This window comes from Homo sapiens, chromosome 11 (genome assembly GCF_000001405.40).
Source record: "Homo sapiens chromosome 11, GRCh38.p14 Primary Assembly".
NCBI classification, from domain to species: domain Eukaryota; kingdom Metazoa; phylum Chordata; class Mammalia; order Primates; family Hominidae; genus Homo; species Homo sapiens.
In genome coordinates, this window is record NC_000011.10 from 131251530 (window position 1) to 131267142 (window position 15613).

At 41.5% G+C, this 15613-nt stretch overlaps 6 annotated features.

Moving 5' to 3' along the window:
* Positions 1448–1950: an enhancer, noted in NCBI's record as "OCT4-NANOG-H3K27ac hESC enhancer chr11:131122872-131123374 (GRCh37/hg19 assembly coordinates)". NCBI's record gives its function as "activates a minimal SCP1, AML or CMV promoter by ChIP-STARR-seq in naive H9 embryonic stem cells {active_cell/tissue: H9 hESC(naive)}" and the evidence as "EXISTENCE:reporter gene assay evidence [ECO:0000049][PMID:30033119]".
* Positions 1951–2451: an enhancer, noted in NCBI's record as "OCT4-NANOG-H3K27ac hESC enhancer chr11:131123375-131123875 (GRCh37/hg19 assembly coordinates)". NCBI's record gives its function as "activates a minimal SCP1, AML or CMV promoter by ChIP-STARR-seq in naive and primed H9 embryonic stem cells {active_cell/tissue: H9 hESC(naive and primed)}" and the evidence as "EXISTENCE:reporter gene assay evidence [ECO:0000049][PMID:30033119]".
* Positions 2954–3454: an enhancer, noted in NCBI's record as "OCT4-NANOG-H3K27ac hESC enhancer chr11:131124378-131124878 (GRCh37/hg19 assembly coordinates)". NCBI's record gives its function as "activates a minimal SCP1, AML or CMV promoter by ChIP-STARR-seq in primed H9 embryonic stem cells {active_cell/tissue: H9 hESC(primed)}" and the evidence as "EXISTENCE:reporter gene assay evidence [ECO:0000049][PMID:30033119]".
* Positions 4961–5460: an enhancer, noted in NCBI's record as "H3K27ac hESC enhancer chr11:131126385-131126884 (GRCh37/hg19 assembly coordinates)". NCBI's record gives its function as "activates a minimal SCP1, AML or CMV promoter by ChIP-STARR-seq in primed H9 embryonic stem cells {active_cell/tissue: H9 hESC(primed)}" and the evidence as "EXISTENCE:reporter gene assay evidence [ECO:0000049][PMID:30033119]".
* Positions 8975–9514: an enhancer, noted in NCBI's record as "H3K27ac-H3K4me1 hESC enhancer chr11:131130399-131130938 (GRCh37/hg19 assembly coordinates)". NCBI's record gives its function as "activates a minimal SCP1, AML or CMV promoter by ChIP-STARR-seq in primed H9 embryonic stem cells {active_cell/tissue: H9 hESC(primed)}" and the evidence as "EXISTENCE:reporter gene assay evidence [ECO:0000049][PMID:30033119]".
* Positions 9515–10052: an enhancer, noted in NCBI's record as "H3K27ac-H3K4me1 hESC enhancer chr11:131130939-131131476 (GRCh37/hg19 assembly coordinates)". NCBI's record gives its function as "activates a minimal SCP1, AML or CMV promoter by ChIP-STARR-seq in primed H9 embryonic stem cells {active_cell/tissue: H9 hESC(primed)}" and the evidence as "EXISTENCE:reporter gene assay evidence [ECO:0000049][PMID:30033119]".

Genomic DNA, 15613 nt, shown 5'->3' on the forward strand with positions numbered 1-15613 from the left:
GATGACTGGGGCATACTTCGATGATGGAAGAAATGATGGTGATGAAAACCCTCAAGGAAATAATTCACCTCCAGTAACATCAGAGCTGTCCTTTAGGTTCTGAAGTTAGCACAGGCCCTTATGAGTGGAGGGGCAGCTGTTCATTATCCTTACCTACTCCGCTTCACCCCAAGGTGGTCCCCTGTCTCACTGGTGTCAATCAACAGCAAAGATCCTGTCCTCTAACTACCTGCAAAAACACTACTTAAGGTGTCGCCCCCTCTTCATGGGAGTAGACATATTCTCCTTCTCTCTCTTCCTCTCTCCCCACTCTCCATCTTGTGATTGATTCATCTGACACCTCTGAGATGATCTTTCACTCACAAATACAGATGTTCTTTAAACTTCTAATTTTTCCCCTTCATTTGGATCCCTTGCTTAGTTGCTTCAAGAAATGTCTCCCCCCTTTTGTCTTCCTGGCCTCTCAACTTCTTCTTTTCCTCCCTGCCTCACCCTGTTTCTCTTGCTCCCTTTCTCAATCAGAAGGGAAAAGCAAAAACCAACTTTAATTACGGGGGATAAGTAGAAGTAGTGCCAGCTATATACCTGTATCAAGCAAAAGTCAAGGCATAAGCTTTGAAGTGAAATGAGGTGCATTCAGCAGCCTGAACCATCAGCCTCAACAGCTCTTGACATAACCTAAAGCCTCCTTCAAGAGCACTGCACCGTCTCCACTACCTCCTCATTCCTGTCCAGTTAATCTTACTTTCCTCAAGAATGAACTTCCGTGTGTGTGTATGTATGTGAGAGAGACAGAGAGAGAAAGAGTGTGTGTGAAAGAGAAAGAGACAGACAGGGAGAGGGAGAGAAACATTTTTATTGTTCTACTGTTTGGTTTAATTATGGGTATTGAACTGTTGTTTTCTACAAAGTTTCCTTGCAACTCCATAATACCAGTAGCACATTTTGAGTTAGATGTGCATTTGTGGGCTAGGCTAGAGCACTATTTATAACATCGTTTCTATGGGAAAGTTTATTCCAGGTCCCAAGCAACTAACTTAAAAATGAACTTTTTGATTACAACTTGGAACAAAGCATATACATTGGAAAGTGCTTGCTCATGAATATGTAGGCTAGGTTTGTGGGGTAAGTTGGTATACGGTTCAGCTAGCACACTGGCATTTTCTCTACGTTCTCCTACCTGTTCTCAGCAAACAAATGGCAATTGGTCATGCTCTGGGCAATTTACTGATGCAGAACCACTGGTGACAAGGTAGATGGACCCCTACTTTACTTAAGGGGCTCACATTCAAGTGCATAGTCCTAGGATCCTGTGAAAGGTGAGTTCCACGGAAATGGTTATTCTTATAGAAATACAATCTACAGAAGGGCTCTGAAGTCAATTTCTTTTCTGGTAGGCCTTGGGAGGAAGCGTCTTATAATAGCCAACACCCAAGTGCTCTTTTGCGAGCTTATATGGGTAATCTTAAACTAGTCAATTTAACTTTTCAGACTCTTCACAAGGAGGTTTATCATGAGAAAAAAGAAAGCAGACTTTTACTGGGAAAGTGTAATAAGCATGATATGCATACACACACACCTTTCATTTTACAATCCTTGTGATTTATTGGTTGTACTAAAGTTGGTCAATGGAGGATATTTTCCTGAGCTAACAGGAGTTTGTGCCACATGGATTGGAGACTTTAATCTTCCAAGCATTTACCTCCAGTGATGATCATCTGGGGAAAAAAGAAGTTGCCAGGGCAATGCTGTCCCAGCCCCCAGCTCCCAGAATGAGTCCCCTGTGGAGAGCCATTTACACTTAGGAAGAAATGTGATCACCTCATGCTTACTGTGGTGTTTGGGGTGATTTGAATTGCAATGTGGTGTATCCAATCCATAGAGTAAAGAAAACTGAACCAGTATCATTAAAGCTTGAAGTGTTGAAATAAGTGGCCTGGGACTGGCTTCCACGGTGATAAAAGATTCATCTGGTAGCACCAGAGTAAAAGAAGTCTCACTAAACACTGGCCGGGCAGCTGCTGCTCGGTGTGAGCATCCCGGGGATGCAAGCGTGGGGGAGGTATGTATATATTTTTTTTCTTTCTGGTCACTGATTTTTCTGTCTTAGATAAATGATTCATTGGAACGCCATTCTCTATTAGGAGAGGATCCAGCTTTCTTCCTTTGAGGGTCAGAAATGTTTACAAATTCCTCTAAATTATTTCCCTACTCCCTTAAAAGATAAGGAGTTGATTTGCCTAGGGCTATTGCAAAAGGGTTCTGTCCACAGAGCATTAGCAGCTCCTGATATACAGGCACATTTGAAGCGGCTGGCGGCACCACCCTTAATAACACTCTTCTTTACAAAGTGCTCATTGTTAAATATTTATGAAGCCTTGCAAGATGGGCCCCGATCACTGCTAGGGCAGATATAAGTTCCTTGCTCTCCCCCAGTGCGTGGAGCTGCTCTGCAGAAGGTGGGTGCAGCGTCTTTCCACTCCACCCTTCTGTGATGCTGCTGAAACTGCATGTCTCTGAGCTGATGAAATCACACACTCAGGGGAGGGCTGCCTGCAGAGGTGCTGGCAACAGAGCCAAAGCGGGAGGGGTGGGGGGTGGAGGGATGCGCTTCGTTCCCAAGTAAGAGCCAAGGCAGGCTCCCACCATCACAATCTTTTAAATATTAATAGGATCCAAAAATATATTCATAAAAAATGAACAAAACTAAAATAAAAGGAAGAGCAATAGACTGGGGAAACGTTTGCTGTAAAGACGAAAAATTAAAGGTTAGTCTTTCTCTCTCATTGCCCCCCTTCCCCACCACGCGCAGCTCACTTGGGTACACAGCCCTCTGCAACAACAGCAGAGGCGCAGGACCCATTGGGAAGAGAGAAGAGTCGCTGAGCCTGAATGTGCTGGTGCAACACCTGGGGTCTTGTCGCCTGAAGTTTCCAGGGCAGGAGGCCTGGGAGGAGCCTGAGGTTCTGATCCCAGCACAGGCTCCCAGGTGAAGCATTTCACTAGCATCCCTGTGAAGAGACCACCAAACAGGCTTTGTGTGAGCAACAAGGCTGTTTATTTCACCTGGGTGCAGGCAGGCTGAGTCTGAAAAGAGAGTCAGCAAAGGGAGATAGGGGTGGGGCCATTTTATAAGATTTGGGTAGGTAAAGGAAAATTACAGTCAAAGAGGGGTTGTTCTCTGGCAGGCAGGAGTGGGGGTCACAAGGTGCTCAGTAGGGGAGCTTTTGAGCCAGGAGAAGGAATTTCACAAGATAATGTCATCAGTTAAAACAGGAACAGGCCATTTTCATTTCTTTTGTGGTGGAATGTCATCAGTTAAGGCAGGAACTGGCCATCTGGATATGTACGTGCAGGTCACAGGGGATATGATGGCTTAGCTTGGGCTCAGAGGCCTGACATTCCTGTCTTCTTATATTAATAAGAAAAATAAAATGAAATACTAGTAAAGTGTTGGGACGGCAAAAATTTTGGGGATGGTATGGAGAGATAATGGGCGGTGTTTCTCAGGGCTGCTTCGAGCGGGATTAGGGGTGGCGTGGGAACCTAGAGTGAGAGAGATTAAGCTGAAGGAAGATTTTGTGGTAAGGGGTGATATTGTGGGACTGTTAGAAGAAAGATTTGTCATTTAGAATTATTGGTGATGGCCTGGATACGGTTTTGTGTGAATTGAAAGACTAAACAGAATAAGAGAAGGAGAAAAACAGGTATTAAAGGTCTAAGAATTGGGAGGACCCAGGACATCTAATTAGAGAGTGCCTAAGGAGGTTCAGCATAGTCCTGCCAGCAGAGATTATTTATTTACTTCAAGAGTTAAGAGTGGCAGTTTGGGGATAGCACCAGGAGGTATCAGCTGTGATGGCTTGGAGAAGTAGTGTAAACCGGCAGTGTAAACAAGAGCAGGGCATGTCTGAGTAGTTGAGAACGGTGAATAGGAGTATGACTAGACAGAAGATAGTAGGGATGACAAGTTTTTTGGGGCACAGTCCAAGATGGTCTGGTGTCTGGAATGAGACTGGGGCCTAATAAAAAGGAGCATCCAAACAGGAGCTCAAATGGACTGTACCCTGTAGCATTCCGAGGACAGGCCTGAATTCTGAGAAGGGAAAGTGGTGAAAGTATTGTCCAGTCCTTTTTAAATTGGTGGCTGAGCTTGGTGAGCTGTGTTTTTAAAAGACCATTAGTCCGTTCTACCTTTCCTGAAGACTGAGGACCGTAAGGGATATAAAGGTTTCACTGAATACCAAGAGCCTAAAAAAATGCTTGGTTGATTTGACTAATAAAGGCTGGTCTGTTATCAGACTGTATAGAGGTGGGAAGCCCAAACTGAGGAATTATGTCTGACAGAAGGGAAGAAATGACCGTGGTGGACTTCTCAGACCCTGTAGGAAAGGCCTCTACCCATCCAGTGAAAGTGTCTATCTAGACTAAGAGGTATTTTAGTTATCTGACTTGGGGCATGTTGAGTAAAGCTAATTTGCCAGTCCTAGGCAGGGGCAAATCTCTGAGCTTGATGTGTAGGGAAGGGAGGGGGCCTGAATAATCCCTGAGGAGTAGTAGAATAGCAGATGGAACACTGAGAAGTTATTTCCTTGAGGATAGATTTCCACTATGGAAAGGAAATGAGAAGTTCTGAGAGGTGGGCTAGTGGCTAGTAGTATAGCATAGCCTGCCTTTGCTGGTGTGTGGCGATTAGGCCTGGTGGAACCACCATCAATAAATCAAGTGTGATCAGGGTGAGAAACAGGGAAGAAGGAAATGTGGGGAAATGGGGTGAATGTCAGGTGGATCAGAGAGATGCAGTCATGGGGGTCAGGTGTGGTATCAGGAATAATGTGGGAGGCTGCATTGAAGTCGGGGCCAAGAACAATGGTAATTGTGGGATTCAACAAAGAGTTAGTACAGCTGAAGGAGCCGGGGAGCAGGCAGTATATGTGTCAGGTGTGAGGAAGAAAATAGATTTTGGAAGTCATGAGAAATGTAGAGAGTGAGTTGAGCATAGTTTGTGATTTTTAGGGCCTCTAAAAGTATTAAAGCAGCGGCAGCTGCTGCACGCAGACATGAGGGCTAGGCTAAAACAGTAAGGTCAAGTTGTTTGGACAGAAAGGCTACAGGGTGCGGTCCCAGCTCTTGTGTAAGAATTCTTTCCACACTAACCATGCCTAGGAAGGAAAGGAGTTGTTGTTTTGTAAGGGATTGAGGTTGGGAGATTAGTCGGACACGATCAGCTGGGAGAGCACGTGTGTTTTTATGAGCATTATGCCGAGATAGGTAACAGATGAGGATGAAATTTGGGCTTGACTGAAGTAATGGGGGCTGTCTGTGAAGCCTTGTGGCAGTACAGCCCAGGTAATTTGCGGAGCCTAATGGGTGTCAGGGTCAGTCCAAGTGAAAGCGAAGAGAAGCTGGGATGAGGGGTGCAAAGGAATAGTAAAGAAAGCATGTTTGAGATCCAGAACAGAATAATGGGTTGTAGGAGGAGGTATTGAGGATAGGAGAGTATATGGGTTTGGCACCACGGGGTGGATAGGCAAAACAATTTGGTTGATAAGGTGCAGATCCTGAACTAACCTGTAAGCCTTGTCTGGTTTTAGGACAGGTAAAATGGGGGAATGGTAAGGAGAGTTTATAGGCTTTAAAAGGCCATGCTCTAACAGGCAAGTGATAACAGGCTTTAATCCTTTAAAGCATGCTGTGGGATGGGATATTGGCATTGAGCCGGGTAAGGGTGATTAGGTTTTAATGGGATGGTAAGGAGTGCATGATCGATCACTAAGTGGGGAGTAGATGTGTTTTATACTTGTGGGTTACGGTGGGGAGATACAAGGGGAGGATGTGAAGGAGGCTTTGAACTGGGGGAAAAGCTGGCAATGAGGTGTGGCTGTAGTCCAGGAATAGTCAAGGAAGCAGATAATTTAGTTAAAGTGTCTCGGCCTAATAAGGGAACTGGGCAGGTGGGGATAACTAAAAAGGAGTGCTTAAAAGAGTATTGTCTAAATTGGCACCAGAGCTGGAAAGTTTTAAGAGGTTTAGAAGCCTGGCCATCAATGCCTACAACAATTATGGAGACAAGGGAAACAGGCCTTTGAAAAGAAGGTAATGTGGAGTGGGTAGCCTCCATATTGATTAAGACGGGGACAGACTTACCTTCCACTGTGAGAGTTACCTGAAGGTCGGCGTCCGTGATGGTTTAGGGGTCTTCCGAGGCGATTGGGCAGTGTCAGCCTTCAGCTGCTAAGCCGGGAAGATCTGGGAAGGAGTCAGAGAGCCTTGGGCCAGAGTTCCAGGAGCTCTGGGAGTGGCTGCCAGGTGAGTTGAACAGTCCAATTTTCAGTGGGTCCTGCACAGATGGGATGCGGCTTAGGAGGAATCCTGGGCTGCGGGCATTCCTTGGCCCAGTGGCCAGATTTCCGGCACTTGTAGCAAGCTCCTGGGGTAGGTTCTGGAGGAATGCCTGGCCACTGTGGTTCAGGTGTTTGGAAGTTCTTGTGTGCTGGAGATGTGGCTGGGGTTTGTCTCACAGTGGAGGCAAGGAATTGCAGCTTTTTTCTATTATTGTACACCTTGAAGGCCAGGTTAATTAAGTCCTGTTGTGGGGTTTGAGGGCCGGAATTTAATTTTTGGAGTTTTATTTAATGTCGGGAGCAGATTGGGTAATAAAATGTATATTGAGAATAAGACGGCCTTTTGACCTTTTAGGGTCTAGGGCTGTAAAGCGTCTCAGGGGTGCTGCCAAACGAGCCATGAACTGGGCTGGGTTTTTATATTTGATGAAAAAGAGCCTAAACATTAACTGATTTGGGAGAGGTCGGATAAAGAAAAAGGAGCATTAACCTTGACTACGCCTTTAGCTCCAGCCACCTGTTTAAGAGAAAAATTGCTGGGCAGGGGGGGGAGGGCTAGTCGTGGAAACAAACTGTAAGACGGACCGGGTGTGAGGAGGGGAGGTGATAAAAGGATTATAGGGTGGAGGAGCGGAGGCTGAGGAAGAATTGGGACCTAGCTTGGCCTGGCTAGGAGCAGCCCAGGGAGGAGGGGAGACGTCAGATGGGTCTGTAGAAAGGGAAGATTAGAAAGACTCAGTGACCCTTGGGGTTGGGACTGAGGGGACAGGTGGGAGGGAAAGAAGGAGGATCTGGGACAAGTCACATTGGGAACAGAGACTAGGAAGGGACCAATGTGTAAAAGAATGCCTGGACATCAGGCACCTCAGACTGTTTGCCCATTTTATGACAAGAATTATTTAGATCTTGTAGGATGGAAAAATCAAAAGTGCCATTTTCTGGCTATTTGGAACCATTGTCAAGTTTGTATTGGGGTCAAGCAGCCTTGTAGAAGAAAATAAGGCATTTAGGTTTTAGGTCAGGTGTGAGTTGAAGAGGTTTTAGGTTTTTAAGAACAGAGGCTAAGGGAGAAAAAGGAGGAATGGAGGGTGGAATGTTGCCTATAGTGAAGGAGGCAAGCCCAGAGAAAAGAGAGAGTAGAGACATGGAGGGAAGGGGTTCAGGGGTTCTTACTCTCCAGAAAAGTGGGAAAGGGGTTGAGGCACAGAAATAAGGGGTTGGGGTGCAGAGATAAGAGGTGGGGCATGGAAATAAGGGATCAGGGCACAGAGATAAGAGGTCAGGGCATGGAAATGAGGGATGGGGCACAGAGATAAGAGGTTAGGGCATGGAAATAAGGGATTGGGGCACAGAGATAAGAGGCCGGGGTGTGGAAATAAGGGATCGGGGGGTTCTTGCCCCCTAGAAAAGCGGTACTTGCCGCTAAGGGTGAAGGAGAAGGGGTTGGGGGGTTCTTGCCTCCCAGAAAAGTGGAGAAGGAGTAGAGACATGGAGAGAAGGAGTTGAGGGGTTCTTGCTTCCCAGAAAAGCAGTACTTGCTGCTAAGGGTGAAGGACCAAGACTGGCATCCCCGTGTGGTCAGATACCTCTGAAACGTGGGTGAATAATCAGAGAGGCATCCCTTCAATGATTAAACACCAAGGGAAGTCTGCCTTTCCGAGTCCGTGACTGGCACCAGAGTTTTGGGTCCACGGATAAAACGTGTCTCCTTTGTCTCTACCAGAAAATGAAAGAAATTGAAATTAAGAGAAGGGAGAGATTGAAGGATGGTGCCAAGATTGAAAGGAGAAAGTGGTTGAGGGATAGTGAGAGAGGTTGGAGAAGAGAGTAAGAAGAGTCCACTTACCTGATTTAAAATTGGTGAGATGTTCCTTGGGCTGGTGGGTCTGAGGACCCAAGGTCGCAGGTGGATCTTTTTCATGGAGCAAAGAGCAGGAGGACAGGGGATTGATCTCCCAAGGGAGGTTCCCTGATCCAAGTCACAGCACCAAATTTCACTCATGTCCATGTGAAGAGACCACCAAACAGGCTTTGTGTGAGCAAGAAGGCTGTTTATTTCACCTGGGTGCAGGCAGGCTGAGTCTGAAAAGAGAGTCAGCGAAGGGAGATAGGGGTGGGGCCATTTTATAAGATATGGGTAGGTAAAGGAAAATTATATTCAAAGAGGGGTTGTTCTCTGGCGGGCAGGAGTGGGGGTCACCAGTTGGTCAGTAGGGGAGCTTTTGAGCCAGGATGAGCCAGGAGAAGGAATTTCACAAGATAATGTCATCAGTTAAGGCAGGAACAGGCCATTTTCATTTCTTTTGTGGTGGAATGTCATCAGTTAAGGCAGGAACCGGCCATCTGGATGTGTACATGCAGGTCACAGGGGATATGATGGCTTAGCTTAGGCTCAGAGGCCTGACAAAGCAGGAGCTGCCGCTGTGGCCCGTGCTGGCCCACCTGGAGAAGCAAGGTCTGGAGCCCCGTCCCACAGCATGTCCTGAGACGGTGGCTTGTTCTGCATCTGTGATGCCCAACACACTTGCCACGACCTAGGCCTGGAGAGCTAGCTAGTGTGGCTGAGTGTGACCAAGGGGCCAGGGTTTTAACTTTTGTTCATTCACTTAGTTTACATGTAAATGGCCTTTTCTTTTCTTTTTTTTTCTTTTTATTTATTTATTTATTTTTTTTTGGAGAGGAAGTCTCTGTCACCCAGGCTGGAGCTTACTGGTGCGATCTCAGCTCCCTGCAGCCTCCGCCTCCTGGGTTCAAGTGATTCTCCTGCCTCAGCCTCCCAAGTAACTGGGACTACAGGCGCCCACTGCCATGCCCAGATAATTTTTGTATTTTTAGTAGAGACGGTTTCATCATGTTGGCCAGGCTGGTCTCAAACTCCTGACCTCAGGTGATTTGCCCCACTCGGCCTCTTAAAGTGCTGGGATTGCAGGCATGAACCACCGCACTTGGCTGTAAATAGCTGTAAATAGCCATATGTAACTAAGGGCTGCCTGTGGGAGAGCTGCGGAAGAGGCTCTGACAGTCAGCTTGGGAGCCAGTTCTTGCCAATGGAAGGGAATGCCTGCAACTGGGTCCCGAGTCCAAGCCCCTTGGGAACTCTCAGTGCCCAGCAGGCTCCTCCCACCCTGCTCGTGTGCTTCTGTGCCAAGTCCCTGACTGAGCTGCCACCTTGCTCTCTGGTTTGTCCTCCTGCTCCCCAGTGAGTGGTGCCAGCCCCAAAATGGCACCTGGCAATCAAGGACTGTGACAACCTGCCCCTCTCCTGCACACGCCTGCCTTTGAGAACTCCACTCTGTCCAAAACCCCAGATGCTGCCAGGGCCCTGCCTCTGGTCAGATGTCCTCAGTATTTGAATAGCATCTCTTTGAGTGCCTCTGCAGACGCCTTGCCCACAGAGTGGGTGGATCCACATCAGTCCCCACCGACCCAAGAGCACGGTCCTCCCCACCCTGTGCTTCAGGTTGTCGCCACGTGTTCTTGTGAGTGTGGCAAGGCAGCTTGAAGCAGCGGGAAGGAACTCAGGCTCCAAGTGCAGAAAAACATAGACGCAAAACCTGACTTGCTTCTTCCTATCTGTAAGGTCTTGGGCAATTGTAACTTTTCTGAGTGTCAATATCTTCTCCCCATCATGGAGTTACCATTGTATCTACCTTTCAGTAATATAAGGACTAGATATAGTATTTGCAAAATATGTTCTGTAAATGACATCTGTTGAGGAAGAGGAAGATGATAATAATGTAAATATAATTATATGCTTTACTTCTTCAGCTAGACCCACACCTCCACCTCCACCTATTCCTAGTTTATTCTCTTTTCTCAATGACCCCACAATAGTCCCAAAGATTTAAAAAACAAAATATATGGGGACAATTCCTAAGAGAAATTGCCAGATTTACTTTACTAAGTAGAGCACAAGTGAGAAACAACACAAACACTAAAAGAAAAATTTTGGAAATATGCTTAAACCTGCTAATCATTAAATTAGTGAAGAGAAAACCACTGCTCAAACTATTAAAGAGCCTTCTAGAGCAACAGAATTCTGTACTGGCAGCATTGTAAATTGGTATAAGAATTCCAGAAAGCAATCTGCTAAGAGTCATTCATTCAGTAGACAAGTATTGAATGCCTACCAACCAGATATTTTGTTAGGCTCTGGGGATACAGAATGAATAAGGCCAGATCCTTATTCACAAAAGCTTATGAAATGGTTGGCATACATAACGTGTCATCACAAAACTCCATCTTACTTCTTGACTCAGTAACCACAAGTAAATAATATTAAAAAGGTATTTTCATATATTGATGTGCATTGCTAAACCATCTATAATAGTGAAAGACTAGCTACCTGCTACCCAAATACCCAAACAAGCAATGTTTAAAATTAGAATAATTTATTAATAGAATAAAAGTTAACAGTGAAATCCAAATTACAAATATGAGAACTATAGAGACATGACAAATAATGCCAAATGGAAAGAATACAAAATAGCATCTATATAATAATTAAGTATGAAAAGTTGTGCATGAATAACCTAAGAATCAGATATCAGTGAATTTTATCAATGGGGATTTCGTTTCAAGTGGAGGAAGAGGATTGTGGCAGTCACGAGAGCTCCTGATGTTGACTGTCTTCACATCCCACCCTTCCTACTTCCCAGATCATGGTATCGTGGTAGGATGGCAAGTTTCTGACCCTTTTGAAGTCAGGCAAAGTCATGAGATTTGCTTAGGCCAAAAACATGTAAGCATAAGAGCCACATGGTTTTTCTCAGGGTGGTCTTTCTCTTAAAGTGAAGCCAGTTCTCTTCATATGGACAATTTACCACATTCCTTTCTTGCTACCATCACAACTGACAGCACTTTATATGTTAGATGTTCTGTCAACCTGAATTCTGGAGTAAAGGGATATGAAACAGAGGCCCAGATGACCTGAAATGTATACTTATCAAGTGTGAAAAATAAAATTTTGTTATTTTGAGCCCTGAAATGCTTTTTCTAACCAATATCCCGATCAGTACAGATATGTGTGTTGTTGTTGTTTTTTTTAAACTTTGTAGACAGCTTATTACTTCTGAAGGGATCCTGACATGGCTTTGCAGAGCTGTAACAGATCACAGGGTGCCATGAGCTTTATGTCCTTAGACCCACCACCTAGGAGAACTCCTTGCATGTCTGCAAGCATGAAAGGGTCTGAACACCAACTGGTGTGTTCCAAGCCAGTAGTTCTAAAATTTTTGGTCTCTGGAACCCTTTATGTCCTTCAAAAACATGAGGTTCTTGGTGTATAGCAGGGTTACCAATTTGTGTACATTAATTTTGTATCCTGAAACCTTGCTGAATTCATTTATCAGTAGCTGTGCTACTCACCAACAGTGGCCAAGCTGAGAATCAAATCAACAACTCAACCCCTTTTACAATAGCTACAAATAAATAAAACACTTAGGAATGTATCTAACCAAGGAGGTGAAAGAACTCTATAAGGAAAACTACAAAACACTACTGAAAGAAATCATAGATGACACAAACAAAAGGAAACACATCCCATGCTTGTGGATGGGTAGAATCAATATTGTGAAAATGACCATCCTGCCAAAAGCAATCTACAAATTCAATGCAATTCCCATAAAAATACCACCATCATGGCCGGGCGCAGTGGCTCCCACCTGTAATTCCAGTACTTTAGGAGGCCGAGGCAGGCGGATTACAAGGTCAGGAGATGAAGACCATCTTGGCTAACAGGGTGAAACCAAGTCTCTACTAAAAATACAAAAAAATTAGCTGGGCATGGTGGCGGGCACCTGTAGTCCCAGCTACTTGGGAGGTTGAGGCAGGAGAATGGTGGGAACCTGGGAGGTAGAACTTGCAGTGAGCTGAGATCGTGCCACTACACTCCAGCGCCTGGGTGATAGAGCGAGACTCTGTCTCAAAAAAAAAAAAAAAAAAAAAAAGTACCACCATCATTCTTCACAGAATAAGAAAAGAAAATCTTAAAATTCATATGGAACCAAAAAAGTGACCTGACTTCAAATTATACTATAAGGCCATAGTCACCAAAACGGCATGGTGCTGGTATAAAAATAGGCACATAGACCAATGGAACTGAACAGAGAACCCAGAAATAAAGCCAAATACTCACAGCCAACTCATCTTCAACAAAGCAAACAAAAACATATTGTGGGGAAAGGACACGCTATTCAACAAATGGTGATGGGATAATTGGCAAGCCACATGCAGAAGAATGAAACTAGATCCTCATCTCTCACCTTATACAAAAATCAACTCAAGATGGATCAAGAACTTAAATCGAAGACCTGAAACCCTAAAAATTCTAGAAGACAACATCAGAAAAACCCTTCTGGACATTAGCTTAGGCAAAGACTTTATAACCAAGAACCCAAAAGCAAATGCAACAAAAACAATGACTAATAGGTAGGACTTCATTAAACTAAAACGTTTCTGCACAGTAAAAGAAACCATCATCAGAGTAAACAGACAACCCACAGACAATCTATGGAGATTGTGGAGACACTCTTCATAATTTACACATCTGATGAAGGACTAATATCGAGAATCTATAGTGAACTCAAACAAATTAGCAAGAAAAAACAATCCCATCAAAAAGTGGGCTAAGGACATGAACAGACAATTCTCAAAAGAAGATATACAAATGACTAACAAACATTTGAAAAAATGGTCAGCTTCACTGATGATCAGGGTAATGCAAATCAAAACAGCAGTGCAATACCACCTTACTCCTGCAAGAATGGCCATAATAAAAAAAATAATAGATGTTGGCAGGGATGCAGTGAAAAGGGAACACTTTTACACTGCTGGTGGGAATGTAAACTAGTACAACTACTATGGAAAACAGTGTGGAAATTCCTTAAAGAACTAAAAGTAGAACTACCATTTGATACAGCAATCCCACTACATTTGATCCAGATAATCCTCTGGGTATTTACCCAGAGGAAAAGAAGTCATTATACAAAAAAGATACTTGCACACACGTTTATAGCTGTGCAATTCCACAGTTGCAAAAATATGGAACCAGCCCAAATGCTTATCAGTCAATAAGTGGATAAAGAAATTCTACCATATATATATGATATATATAATATATATACATATATGTATAGTATACATATATACATATACATATATGTATATAATATATGTATATACATATCTTATATATATATCTTATATATGATATTTCTTATGCTATGAGATATATATCTCATATATCTTATGCTATGAGATATATATCTCATATATCTTATGCTATGAGATATATATCTCATATATCTTATGCTATGAGATATATATCTCATATCTTATGCTATGAGATATATATCTCATATATATCTTATGATATATATCTCATATATATCTTATATATATCTCATATATATCTTATGATATATATCTCATATATCTCTTATATATGAGATATATATCTCATATATCTTATGCTATGAGATATATATCTCATATATCTTATGCTATGAGATATATATCTCATATATCTTATGCTATGAGATATATATCTCATATATCTTATGCTATGAGATATATATCTCATATATCTTATGATATGAGATATATATCTCATATATCTTATGATATGAGATATATATCTCATATATATCTTATGATATATATCTCATATATATCTTATGATATATATCTCATATATATCTTATATATATCTCATATATATCTTATATATATCTCATATATCTTATGATATATATATCTCATATATATCTTATATATGATATATATCATATATATCTTATCTTATATATCTCATATATATCTTATATATATCTCATATATATCTTATATATATCTCATATATATCTTATATATATCTCATATATATCTTATGATATATATCTCATATATATCTTATGATGTATATCTCTCATATATATCTTATGATGTATATATCTCATATATATCTTATGTATATATCTCATATATATCTTATGATGTATATATCTCATATATATCTTATGATGTATATATCTCATATATATCTTATGATGTATATATCTCATATATCATATATATATCTCATATATCTTATGATATATATATCTCATATATCTTATGATATATATATCTCATATATCTTATGATATATATATCTCATATATCTTATGATATATATATCTCATATATCTTATGATATATATATCTCATATATCTTATGATATATATATCTCACATATAACTTATGATATATATATCTCACATATATCTTATATATGAGATATATATATCTCATGTATATCTTATATATATGAGATCTAGATCTCATATATATCTTATATGTGATGTATAGATCCCATATATATCTTATATGTGATGTATAGATCCCATATATATCTTATATGTGATGTATAGATCCCATATATATCTTACATGTGATGTATAGATCCCATATATATCTTATATGTGATGTATAGATCCCATATATATCTTATATGTGATGATGTATAGATCCCATATATATCTTATATGTGATGTATAGATCTCATATATATCTTATATGTGATGTATAGATATCATATATATAAAAGTATTCCCTTTTACATTTTTCAAATGTTAGTCATTTGTAAAAATGTTCACTTATATATGTATATATGTATATGTATATATACATATATGTGTATATATACATATATACATATATATACATATATGTATATATACATATATACATATATATACCGTGTATATATATACATATATATACACTGCATATATATACATATATATACCGTGTATATATATACATATATATACACTGCATATATATACAGATATATACAGTGTATATATATACAGATATATGCAGTGTATATATATACAGTGTATATATATACAGATATATGCAGTGTATATATATACAGTGTATATATATACGTTGTGTATATATATACAGTGTATATATATACGTTGTGTATATATATACAGTGTATATATATACGTTGTGTATATATATACCGTAGAACACTATTCAGCCATAAAAAGGAACAAAACAATGGCATTTGCAGCAAACTGGATGGAATTGAAGACCGTTATTCTAAGTGAAGTAACTCAGGAATGGAAAGTCAAACATCGTATATTCTCACTGATAAGTGGGAGCTAAGCTATGAGGATGCAAATGCATAAGAATGATACAATGGACTCGGGACTCGGGGACAGGGTGCGAGGCGGGTGAGGGATAAAAGACTACACATTGGGTACAGCATACACTG